The sequence below is a fragment of the Homo sapiens genome, chromosome 9 (genome assembly GCF_000001405.40).
Source record: "Homo sapiens chromosome 9, GRCh38.p14 Primary Assembly".
Taxonomy (NCBI): Eukaryota; Metazoa; Chordata; class Mammalia; order Primates; family Hominidae; genus Homo; species Homo sapiens.
In genome coordinates, this window is record NC_000009.12 from 35481290 (window position 1) to 35493901 (window position 12612).

General features: G+C 46.8%; 1 protein-coding gene, 1 long non-coding RNA gene and 1 pseudogene across 6 annotated transcripts in view, besides 2 other annotated features; 2 read left to right on the forward strand and 1 right to left on the reverse strand.

Moving 5' to 3' along the window:
- ATP8B5P (ATPase phospholipid transporting 8B5, pseudogene) overlaps nucleotides 1–1740 on the forward strand; it is a 76275-nt pseudogene extending 74535 nt beyond the window's left edge. Inside the window, exons 17-18 of the transcript NR_003581.2 lie at nucleotides 510–640; nucleotides 738–1740. The product of NR_003581.2 is annotated as an ATPase phospholipid transporting 8B5, pseudogene, transcript variant 1 (transcript). The remainder of the gene's footprint in view (nucleotides 1–509; nucleotides 641–737) is intronic.
- Nucleotides 640–874: a silencer, noted in NCBI's record as "fragment chr9:35481926-35482160 (GRCh37/hg19 assembly coordinates)". NCBI's record gives its function as "represses an EF-1alpha promoter that drives an FKBP-Casp9 reporter gene in an ReSE screen in phorbol 12-myristate 13-acetate-treated (for megakaryocytic differentiation) K562 erythroleukemia cells {active_cell/tissue: K562(+PMA)}" and the evidence as "EXISTENCE:reporter gene assay evidence [ECO:0000049][PMID:32094911]".
- Nucleotides 8491–8790: a silencer, noted in NCBI's record as "silent region_19864". NCBI's record gives its function as "represses an Ori minimal core promoter by ATAC-STARR-seq in GM12878 lymphoblastoid cells {active_cell/tissue: GM12878}" and the evidence as "EXISTENCE:reporter gene assay evidence [ECO:0000049][PMID:35858748]".
- The window catches only part of RUSC2 (RUN and SH3 domain containing 2), a 71785-nt gene continuing 67994 nt past the window's right edge, over nucleotides 8822–12612 (forward strand). For all 4 annotated transcript variants that reach the window (NR_052015.4, XM_047424207.1, NM_014806.5 and 1 more), the window contains exon 1: nucleotides 8822–8883. The gene's annotated coding sequence lies outside the window, so the exon portion shown is untranslated. The remainder of the gene's footprint in view (nucleotides 8884–12612) is intronic.
- Nucleotides 9830–10338, reverse strand: LOC105376026 (uncharacterized). The gene is made up of 2 exons (XR_929580.4): nucleotides 10142–10338; nucleotides 9830–9967 (listed from the first exon to the last, which is right to left on the reverse strand). It is a non-coding gene; the product is annotated as an uncharacterized LOC105376026 (long non-coding RNA).

Consider the following 12612-nt stretch of genomic DNA (forward strand, 5'->3'; position numbering starts at 1 on the left):
ATCTGCCGGCCTGGGGCTCCCAAAGTGCTGGGATTACAAGCGTGAGCCACCGCACCTGGCTGTCTCTCACCTTTTGTCAGGCCACTAACTTATTTTTCTCCTTCAAATCTTTTTTTTTCTTTTTTTAATTTTTTTTTTTTACCTTTTTTATTTTTATTTTTTTGTTTTTTCCTCCTCCAAAGCTTTCTTTCCCATTTTTGGATGCAAGCCAGTGCTCTAGGATTCCCTCATAACTTACCCCTGCTCTCCTATCCTGCCCTACCCTGCCCTGCCTTTAGAGGGAGAGAGAGGCACATGGATTCACAGTGACTTTGGCTGCACAAAGGACCCAACTACAATTCTTTTGTATTTATATTATTTCTCAGGAGCCTAAACTAACTACAAGTCAGTAACTTCCTTCTTTGGACTAGAGAGGTGTCTACGTTCTGGCTGGTAACTCCTACCCCTGGTCCTACCCCGGTCCTCCAGGCTCTGTTTCAGCCTTTCCCCTCCTGGCTCACTGTTTACAGGTGTGGTCAGGAATTCTCTGAACCAGCCGCAAATGCTGCTGAGCATTATCCTCAGTGTGGTCCTCTGTATGTTGCCTGTGATTGGGCACCAATTTCTTAAACCACTATTCTGGCCTATCAGCATGGACAAAGTAAGTGCAACAGAAAATCTACGCAGATATAATTCATGACCTTCTTTTGCTTTTGCCTCTGTGGATGAAAACCCTATCCCCCATGCTCTGGCTATAGGTTTTTGACAGAATTCAAGAGTGCAGGAGACTTCCACAGCAGTCCCCAGTCTGGACCAAACTGAAACACTCAAGCACTCGACGTTCTGCCTATGCATTCTCCCATAAACAAGGCTTTGGGGCCCTCATCACTTCTGGCAAGATAGTGAAGCCCAGGATGTCCAAGAGAAACACCCTTTTTTTGAAAAAGATAGAGGCCCTAGGGAAATTCCAAAGGAGGCAGTCAGTGCTCTTCCTCCCTCGTACTCATGCAACTTAGGAAGAATTAGAGTCCCTGGGAAACCAGCATAAACCTGCTCCTTCATTCTCACTAGGGACTAAGCCTCTTAATTGTCCAGAAGGCTATTCCCAGAAAGGCAAGGAGGGGTAAGGAAAGAGCCCCCAGATATCTGCCAGAGTTGCAGCATTTCAAGAAAAAGAAAAAAAAAGCAACCTCAGGCCTGCCTCCCACCATCTCTTGCAAGTTTTAATCCAGACAAGCATATGTAGAGGTAGGGGGTGACAAGAGACAGTATGGGGAAGGGAAAAGAAGATGGAACCTAAGAATTTTACTTTGGGCCCTATCTCCTATACTCAGAGCAAGCATAAACCTTCCCAGGGCCCTACACAAACATATTCCCATCGAGGCATCACATAAAATAAAATCAACCATTTAAAAAGGTATAATTTAGTGACAATTACTTCCCATTTATAAGCAAGGGATGCATGAGTGCTACCCATAGACCGGATATGGGCCATGTCTTTAGCGTTTCTTGATCTCGTTAGATAAATTATCTGAAATTTTGAGGAGACTTCAGCAGAAAGAAGCAGGGGATATGCTGTCAAATGCCTGTGGATTTATACTAAGAAAGAAAGAAGGGGCATAAGGAAAATTTTCTTTATCTCGATTTTGGAGGTGGTTACATGGGTATGTATTTGTCAAAATTCATTGACCTGTATACTTAAGATTTATACATTTTATTTTATGTAAACTATATCTCAATAAAGTTGAGTTTTTTAATGTCTAGAAATTTTTAATGGAGTTGTAAGTGACCAACCACAGGAGCCAGATTCACCCACACTGAAGTAACTCACTATAGAAGAGATATCTCCACCAATGGGGAGAGAATTTCTGAAGAACCTATAAAAGGACCTCTTGAAAACGAGTCAACTTTAGATACCTGCCAGGCCTTTTTTTTTTTTTTTTTTTTTTTTTGAGATGGAGTCTCACTCTGTCGCCCAGGCTGGAGTGCAGTAGCGCTATTTCGGTTCACTGCAACCTCTGCCTCCCAGGTTCCAACAATTCTGCCTCAGCCTCCCGAGTAGCTGGGATTACAGGTGCACACCACCACACCCGGCTAATTTTTGTATCTTTAGTAGAGACGGGTTTTTGCCATGTTAGCCAGGCTGGTCTCAAACTCCTGGTCTCAACTGATCTACCCGCCTCAGCCTCCCAAAGTGCTGGGATTACAGGCATGAGCCACCATGCCTAACTTATCTGCCAAGCCTTAAAATTAGTTTATGACTGTATTAGTCAAGTAAAGGCTTTCTTCATCTCTTCCCTCTCCTGTCCTGCTTAAGCCCCGGAGAAAAAAGAATTAGCAAGCTGAAGGAGGGAGGAGGGGTAAGTAGAAAAACAGACATCTACAAAGCCCACTGAACCTGGCCACATGCAGCAGCCCAGCTGAAAGATAAGGAAAAGCATTAATTGTAAAGGTTGAAGTTTTTAAAAATTATTTCATTAAATCACTTTAACTACTAAAGCGAAACTTAAAGTGACAAGTACTGGTTGCTACTAAAAAGGACCATTCACTAAGTACATTTTGCATCAGCACTTGTTCCTTCACCTTGTACTTTTATGTTATAGAGACGACTTCTTTCTGTAAACCTCATGAACCCACCTCTGTTGGCATCCAACTTTTCTTCTGTAACTTCTTCCCCAGCCTTCATAGAATTGAAGAGAGTTAGGGCCTTGCTCTGGATTAGGTTTTGGCTTAAGGGAATACTGTGGCTGGTTTCAGCTTCTATACAGACCACTCAAACTTTCTCTGTATCTGCAATAAGGCTGTTTTGCTTTCTTATTTGTGTGTTCACTGGAATAGCACTTTTAATTTCCTTCAATAACTTTTCCTTTGCATTCACAACTTGGCTAACTGGTATAAGAGGCCTAGCTTTCAGCCTGTCTTGGCTTTCGACATGCCTTCCTCAATAATCTTAATCGTTTCTAGCTTTTTATTTCAAGTGACAGATATGTGACTCTTCCTTTCACTTGAACACTTAGAGGCCATTTAGGGTTATTAATTGGCCTGATTTCAATATTGTTGTGTCTCAGGGAATAGGGAGGCCTGAGGAGAGGTAAAGATGGGAATGACGGGTTGGTGGAGCAGTCAGAACAGGCATTTATTAAGTTTGGCATCTTCTATAGGCGCAGTTCGTGGTGCCCCAAAGAAATGAACAAGGAACACTGTCCTAGCCCCAACATATCCCTGTGATTCCAGCTCCAAATTATCTACCAAATCTTCTAAGATTCATGAAAAGCGTTTTGGAAAAGACACATCATTTGGAGGATCCTGGGAGTCATTCAAGACTATTTGCTGTATGTTACCCCACCCACCCCCATGACACATTCAATTAATCACTAAATTCTACAGATTTCTATACCCTAAATCATCCTTGAATCTATCTCCTCTTATCTAAGCCTTCAGCCACTGCCCTAATTCAGACTCTTTCAGTTCTCATCATAATTATCAATCTCCTAACTGGTTGATTGATTACCTTCCTGTAATTCAATATCCACACTCCTACTGAAGTGAGATTTCTAAAGCTCAGATATGTTCACATCACTCCCCTGCATGAAATAATAGTGCCAACAGCCTTCAGAATAAAATCCAAACTTAGCTGGGCATGGTGGCTCATGCCTGTAATCCCAGCACTTTGGGAGGCTGAGGCGGGTAGATCACCTGAGGTCAGAAGTACAAAACCAGCCTGGCCAACATGGTGAAACTGGGCGTGGTGGCGGGCTCCTGTAATCCCAGCTACTCGGGAGGCTGAGGCAGGAGAATCACTTGAACCCAGGAGGCAGAGGTTGCAGTGAGCCGAGATCACACCACTGCATTCCACCTGGGGTGACAGAGCAAGACTCCATCTCAAGAAAATAAAATCCAAACTCCCAAACACACATACAAGGCCCTTCCTAATCTTGCTGTTGCCTCCCTCCTACACTTTGCCCATGCTTAACTAATGCCCATACTACTTGAGTTTCCCTAAGGCATCATGCTTTCTTTGTTTTTTTTTTTTTTTTTGAGACAGAGTTTCACTCTTGTTGCCCAGGCTGGAGTGCAATGGTGTGATCTCGGCTCACTGCAACCTCCACCTCCCAGGTTCAAGCAGTTCTCCTGCCTCAGAGAGGCAAGTAGCTGGGATTACAGGCATGTGCCACCATGCCTGGCTAATTTTGTATTTTTAGTAGAGGTGGGCTTTTCACCATGTTGGTCAGGCTGGTTTCGAACTCCTGACCTCAGGTGATCCACCCACCTTTGCCTCCCAAAGTTCTGGGATTACAGGCATGACCCACCGTGCCCAGCCTCTTTGTTTGTTTGTTTTTGAGATGGAGTTACGCTCTTGTTACCCAGGCTGGAGTGCAATGGTGCAATCTGAGCTCACTGCAACCTCCACCTCCCGGGTTCAAGCGATTCTCCTGCCTCAACCTCCTGAGTAGCTGGGATTACAGGCACCTGCCAGCATGCCCAACTAATTTTTGTATTTTTAGTAGAGACGGGGTTTCACCATGTTGGCCAGGCTGATCTTGAACTCCTGATCTGAGGTGATGTGCCTGCCTTGGCCTCCCAAAGTGCTGGGATTACAGGTGTGAGACACCGCACCCGGCCAGCATCATGCTTTCTTATGTCTCTGTGTTTTCGTATATTCTTTGATTTGCAAGTGTCTGGAAAACTTAAGAAATACTTTGAAATGGGTGTCTTTTTAATGGAATGTTGGGTGCTGTTAAGAATCTTTGGGAATTATTTGATTATATTAGCGGTGAGAGCCTTTGATTTCCTTTGACTAGGTTCCTATTTTACAAGTAAGCTATTTTCTAACTCGTTGGAGTTAGAAGTTAACTTCAGAATACTGACAATAAATAATACAAAAGATTTTCTGCCCATAACAGTGCAAACGATTCCTGTTCTGGGTGATGCAAATAAATTTTGTCCATTAGAGAAAAGACATTTCTAAGTCAAATCTTCATTTGAACTGGTTTTAGTATCTTACTGGTTCCCTCATTAGTTAAATAAAAAATTTGAAATATGTTCATTGTATATTTGTATAAGGCTCTGCCAGGCTCAGTGGCTCATGTCTGTAATCCCAGCACTTTAAGAGGTGGAGGCGGGTGGATTGCTTGAGCTCAGGAGTTCAAGACCAGCCTGGGTAACATGGCAAAACCCTGTCTCTACCAAAAATGCAAAAAATATCTTTAGTCCCAGCTACTCTGGAGGCTGAGGTGGGAGGATCGCTGAAGCCCGGAAGTCGAGGCTGCAGTGAGCCATGATCGCACCACTGCACTCCAGCCTGGGTAACAGAGAACCTGTCTCAAAAAATAAAAAATAAAAATACTTGCATAAGGCTCATTATTTTACCTTTTTGAAAGTTATTCTTTAACACAAACAACAGGAAGTAACCCACACTCGCTGAAGCCAAAAATGAGATTCCTATGAATGGATAGAAGGATGCATCATGATCCTGGGGAAGGAATCCTGCTGGGCCTCAGAAAGAAGTGGAACCAGCTGCTGGAAGGTCCCAAGAACCTAGGGAGCAGTCTTTTTGTGTCTAGACTTGCTTCTCTGTGTGCAACTGATTGATCTTCTTTCTCAGCAAACTGGTTTTCAATGCTGCTCAGGCCAAATGGGCAAGTAGAAGATGACTACTGCATAGCTCCCAAATTACCCTTAAGTCCAATTTAAGTCTGAGCAGAGATGTAGCTCTTTGTCTCCCAATTCCAAATTCTTAGAGAAGTAATTCTAATTGGCCTGGTTTGGCTTAATTCCCCAACCCAGACTATTTAACTGGGGGATCACACTGTGCAAACATGCAATTCCTCATTGGTTCCCCACTGGCAATGCTAGCTCTCTCCATGTCACCCTTATTTAAGCCCTTAGAACTTTATTTCTAACATTCATATTTGATCTTGTCATTCCTGCCTCTGCAATAAAGCCCTTCAGTATCTCTCCCAACTCCTTAGTAGTCATAGGCGTTTCATCACCAAACCCTGACCAGCTCTCCTCAGCTGTCTCCGTTGCCTCCCACACTTCTCAATCACATTGGTCATTTTGCCCCTCAGTTCTTTTGCACATGCCAATTCTCTCTTTACCTCCCACTCATTCTTCAAAATTCAGCTCACACCACTTCTGTGAAGCCTGAAGACAAGCTACATATCCTGACATTTATCTGCTTCCTTGACTGTGACCCCAGTCTCTAACTCTTTCAGTGAGTATGGAACCTAGAACAGAGTCTTCTATTTTTTTTTTTGAGACAGAGTCTTGCTCTGTTGCCCAGGCTGGAGTGCAATGGCGCAATCTCAGCTCACTGCAACCTCCGCCTCCCAGGTTCAAGTGATTCTCCTTCCTCAGCCTCCCGAGTAGCTGGGATTACAGGCATGCGCCACCACACCCGGCTGATTTTTGTATTTTGAGTAGAGACGGGGTTTTACCATGCTAGTGGTCTCAAACTCCTGACCTCAGGTGATCCGCCCGCCTCAGCCTCCCAAAGTGCTGGGATTACAGGCGTGAGCCACCGCGTCTAGCCTAAGAGTCTTCTCAATGGGTGATATGGTTTTGTTAGTGGTGGAAGAGGTCTGAGTTACCCCAAGTTACCTGCAGCCTATCCTTATGGGTCTGTAGCAACTTTAGTCCTTGCTTCATCAGAAGAAAGAATTCGACTGTGGGGCAGAAAGCAGAAAAAGAGACCAAGGCAAGTTCCAGAGTAGGAATGGAAGTTTATTTAAAAAGGCCTTAGAACAGGAAAGAAAGGAAGGTGCGCTTGGAAGAAACCCAAGCGGGCACGTGAAGGTTAAAGAGAGAAGGTCAAGTGCCTAACCAAGATCCTAGGACTTTTACAGGCTGGCCTCTTTCCCATGATTCTTCCCTTAGAGTGGGCTTCCCGAATGCGCAGTGCTTTCCTTCCCGTTTTCCGGTGGAGGGTGCCCCCAGGAGATCATACGTCACCATTTTTGTCTCTTAACACGCATGCCCAGAAAGTTGCTTCTCCCTGAGGCCTGCATTCAATTAGCATTTTGATGTTAACATGTGTGGACCATCAGGAAATGGCCTCTCCCTGGCCCAGCCGAATTATCCTTTTTAAAGAAGCAATGAGGTAATTATGGAACTGTCACTGGTAGAGGGTCTGACTGCAAGTTGTCCAGGTTCTTGGCGTTTTGAACAAAGAATTGGACAAAACGCCCAGCAAAGCAAAGAAAGAATGAAGGAACAAAAGAAGGAAAGCAGGGATGTATTGAAAACGAAAGCACACTCCACAGTGTGGGAGCAGCCGGAGCAGCGGCTCAAGGGCCAGGAAACAGAATCTTCTTGGGTCCAAATACCCCCTAGAAGTTACCCGCCACTTCATGCTCACCTCATGTAAATGAATTCGTAGCCTGCAATCAGTCTGATTGGTTGCAGAAAGCAGCCAAGCAGAGGCTGAAGTGAAGTTACAAAGGTCGCACACCTGTGCAAACATCTGATTGGTTGCAAGAAGCAACCAATCAGAGGCTAGGGTGAAGTTACAAAGTTATACTTCTATGCAAAGTTAGACTCGGCTGCAGTCAGTCTAATTGGTTGCAGATAGCCAATTTCCCATCTGCTGGGCAGAAAAGTTGGGTGGGGGGTTTGTTACTTAGGTGTGGAAAGTTAGGGTTTTCCTTTCAATTTAGTTCCAGGAAGTTGGCATGAACCAGTCTTAGGTTCCCTGCCTCCAGTCCCTATTCTCCTGCCTCAGAACCATCACCCAACATCCCTAGTGGGTAGCAGGGGAGAACCCTCTCCTGCCCCGCTCATGCCTAACTACCTGTAACAGTTTGGCTGTGTCCCCACCCAAAATCTCATCTTGAATTGTAATTCCCATAATCCCCCTGTGTCAAGGGCGGGAACAGGTGGAGGTAATTGGATGATGGGGCTGGTTTCCCCTGCGCCCTTCTCGTGACAGTGAGTGAGTCCCACAAGATCTGATGATTTTATAAGCGTCTGGCATTTCCCTTGCCTGCACTCACTCTGTCCTGCCACCCTGCGAAAAGGATGGCTACTTCTTTGCCTTTTGCCATGATTATAAGCTTCCTGAGGCCTCGCCAACAATGCGGAACTGTGAGTCAGACCTCTTTCCTTCATAGTATTTCTTCATAGCAGTGTCAGAACGGACTAATACAGTGGGTTTCCCATAACATTTGCAGGACTGCCTGCCCCATCCCCCTCTGGCTGTAAACAGCAGGAGTCACACACAGGCATCTTCCATGTCCCCCACACATCCGGCCCTGAAGGGCAGGGGGCGCATGGGTTCTACGTTTCATCAGGGGTTCCGAACCCTGGCTATGCACTGGAGGCCAACCCCACCTCACCCCACCCCACTCCACCCCAGTGGTTCTGAGTCGGTCCAGTGTGAGGTCAGCCCTCCTTCTGTTGTTTGGTTAGTTTCCACACTAGGTTCTACTGGGAAGCCAGCGTTGAGAACCGCCGCCTCAGGCGAAGCTGGGACTCACACCCACCGGCCCTGGAGGCCCGCGGAAGGTTTCCCTGGGTTCCAGCACCCGGGAGCCGCGCGTCGCCAGGCACCACCCCGCGGGGGCGGGCGCGGGCCGCAGAAGATTGGGCCACGGCGGAAGCCTCTCCGCTCCCTTAGCGGGAAAGCTCTGCGCGTGACTCGGCTGCGCCCATCGCTGCGGGAGCCGGGGAGGGGGCGAGCACCTTAGGCCGGGCGGACCGAACCAACGCGCCGCCCGGAGGGGCGGCCTGAGGGCAACCCAGATCGGACCATCGCGCCACGCCGACAGGGGCCGGCCTTTCCAACCCGCCCGGAGGGAGGGGCCGCCGGCGCCTCTAGCCTGCAACGCGACCCCTGGAGGGCGAGACACGCCGCCGCCGCCGCCGCCGCCGGCGCGGAAGGACGAGGCTGAGGCGAGAAACGAGGTAGGAACGCCTCTCCGGAGGCGGGCAGGGTCCCACAGACCCACTGCCCCGCGTTCCAAGGTCTCCCTTAGGGGAGGGCCTGTCTTCCCACCTATGTGCCTTCAGCGCCTGCCCTTCCCTTCAGCCCTTCCCCCTCGGCTGCACCCGCCCTCTGCGTCCGCCCCGACCCCCTGGGCAGACCTCGTCCCCAGCCCTTCTGACCCTTGGCCTTCTCCTGACCCTTCAGCTCTGCGTCCACCGGACCTTCAAACACCCAGCACCCACCGTCCCTTTGGGCGCCACCCCAGATGCATCCCCAACCGTCTCCTCAAACTGCCCCCTTGGGGACACCCTCCCCCCACAAAACGACTCGCGCCCAGTAGTCACCTTGGTACCCCAAGTCCCTGTGACGGCTTTGGGGAAGCGTGGCCGCCCGGCACCCAGGCCGGCGACTGCAGCGGGGGCCTCCCTACTGCCAGTTCCCGGCCGGGTCCTCTGCTCCCTCCACCCTTTTAGCCCCTGCCTCCCTTTATTATCCGCCCGGCGCCGGCGTTGCTTCAGTCTCTGTCTCTCTGTCATCCAGTTTTACCTGGAGAAAACCTTTGGCTTGGCAGTAACCGTCCCCTACTACTGCACTCACTTGCCGCGAAGGGCACGGTGATCCTGTTGCCCACAGTTGGCTGTGGCCCTCCAGGCCGGCCCTGCGGACACGGGGAACTGTCCTGGGGGCAAGGACGGTACACTACTCATCTTTGTATCCCCGGTCCCCAGCACGGTGCCTGGCACATGGTAGTGTTGCTGGTGGAGGGTCTTCACTACCAGTTGTCCTTTGCGTTTTGAACAAGTAATTGAGCAGCGGAGGAATGAAACGCAGGAACAAGTAGATCTGAGTCAGGCAAGGATTACCACTATGTGAACAGTGTCCGTGATAAAGAACACAGGCCTTAAAAAAAAAAAAAAGGCGGAATTTACAAAGGACAAAGGGCCTGAAACCTGTTTTTATTTATTCCTAGGTGGGTGACCTGAGCAGATTTAGTTTCCTGGGGGTTTGGGTTCCACGCGGAAGCAGGTGGTATCGCTGAGGGATGAAACAATGGCTGGAAAGCTGTAGGAGTTGATAAGGTAGAAAGTAGTTACCTAATTAGTAGTGGCATTATTGTAACTGGGGCTCAAAGTATTAGCAAATAAAAGTAGTGACTGGATTTTCTTAGCCGGCTCCTTAGATATTAAGCAGTGGTGGATGGCTTAATGGAAGGAAGAGCAGATCCAAACAGTATACCTGGTATTCTGTTAGTTATGCCCGTCCTGCTGTATGGCCAGCCACTGTTTCTCTTCTGTTTTGAGCCAGGTTAGGATCCCTCTGATTTCTGTGCTGGTATTTAAGATTCCTTTTTGAAGCCACAGTTGCCTTAACTGGAGGCTGGACATGTTCTCATTCATCCATTGCTAGTTTTGATGTATCCTTTTCCGCTTTCTGTCTCCCACCCTCTTACATGTCTTTATAAAGTCTTGGATCAGGCCAGGCACAGTGGCTCAGCCTGTAATCCCGGCACTTTGGGAGGCCCAGGTGGGCGGATCACTAGAGGTCAGAAGTTCAAGATCAGCCTGGCCAACATGGTGAAACCCCATCTCTACTAAAAATACAAAAATTACCGGGCATGGTGGTGTGCACATGTAGTCCCAGCAACTCAGGAGGCTGAAGTCCCAGCAACTCAGGAGGCTGAGGCAGGAGAACCCCTTGAACCTGGGAGGCAGATGTTGCAGTGAGCTGAGATCATGCCACTGCACTCCAGCCTGGGTGACAGAGCAATGCTCTGTCTCAAAATAAAGCCTTGGATCATAGAAACCCAGTGTGGGGAGGGGCTCCTGATCTGGATGGATTAAGCAATACAATTTTTTTTTAACAGTATCTTTTTAATGGCCTTTTCTACTTTTTCCTGTCTAGGCTTCCTGTTAAGACCTCAGTTACCCCAGAACACCCTGGGTTATTTTTCTCCTCACCTCCAATACTTCAGTGTTGCCAGATAAAACGCAGAGTGCCCAGTTAAATTTGAATTTCAAATAAACAACAGGGAGTCCTGTATTTTTACTTGCTAAATCTGGCAAGTTCATGGGAGGGCTTATGTGTTCTATTTTTCTCTCTGGGCTTATCTGCAAATTTAGGATAATAACTCACCCTTTTCTTCCTGTTACTCATACACAATGACTATGCACCCTGCTAAAAGTCACTTGACTGAAGAGATGGTTCACTTCATGTTAGGGTAAGGGCAGGCTATCTAGAAATGGTCTTGATTGATCAGTGTTGAAGTTACCCAGGAAAAAAAAAAAACACCCATTCAGACATTGGCATTTAATATAATTTTTGTCAAATGAGTCCGTCATACGAAACGAGAGCATCATTTTGAGTAGCCAGATGTCAACATTGCTCTGATAGAGCTAGGTGATGGGGTAGAAGGGAATCCTAACAACAACAAAATAACTCAGCAGAACCTGTGCTGTACCATATTTACTCTTTATGGTGGTAATATATATATATATAACATAGAATTTACCATTGTAATAATTCTTAAGTGGCATTAAATATATTCACATTATTGTACAACCATTACTGATAACAATCTCCAGAACTTTTTTTCATCTTCCCAGACTGAAACTCTGTACCAGTAAGATGCTAACTCCCCATTTCTCCCTACTCCGCCCCAGGCAACCACCATTCTACTTTCTATCTTTGAATTTGACTACTGGGGGTACCTCATATAAGTGGAATCATGCACTATTTGTCTCTTTGTGACTGGTTTATTTCGGTTAGCATAATGCCTTTTTTTGTTTTTTGGGTTTTTTTTTAACTTTTATTTTAGGTTCAGGGGTACATATGAGGGTTTGTTATATAGATAAACTCATTTCACAGGGGTTTGTTGTACAGATTATTTCATCACCCAGGTATTAAACCTGGTACCCAATAGTTATCTTTTCTGCTCCTCTCCCTCCTTCTACCCTCAAGAAGACCCTGGTGTCTGCTGTTTGTTTCTTTGTGTTTATACATTCCCATCATTTAGCTCTCACTTATAAGTGAGAACATGCAGTATTTGGTTTTCTGTTTCTGTTAGTTTGCTAAGGATAATAGCCTCCAGCTCCATCTATGTTTCTGCAAAAGACATGATCTCATTCTTTTTTATGGCTGCATAGTATTCCATGGTGTATATATACCACATTTTCTTTATCTGGTCTGTCATTGATGGGTATTTAGGTTGATTCCGTGGCTTTGCTATTGTAAATAGTGCTGCAGTTGGTTAGCATAATGTCTAAAGTTCATCCACTTTATAGCCTGTATCAGAACTTCCCTCCTTTTATTTTTATTTATTTATTTTTTGAAACAGAGTCTCCCTCCATCAACCAGGCTAGAGTGCAGTGGCACGATCTTGGCTCACTGCAACTTTTGCCTCCCAGTTCAGGTGATTCACATGCCTCAGCCTCCTGAGTAGCTGGAATTACAGGTGCACGCCACCACGCCCGGCTAATTTTTGTATTGTTAGTAGAGAGGGGGTTTCACCACGTTGGCCAGGCTGGTCTCGAACTTCTGACCTCAAGTGATCCACTAGCCTCAGCCTCCCAAAGTGCTGGGATTACAGGTGTGAGCCACTGCACCTGGCCAGAATTTCACTCCTTTTAAAGGCTGAATAATATTCCATTGTATGTATACACTATATTCTGTTTATTCATCTTTTGATGGATACTTTGGTTGCATCTATC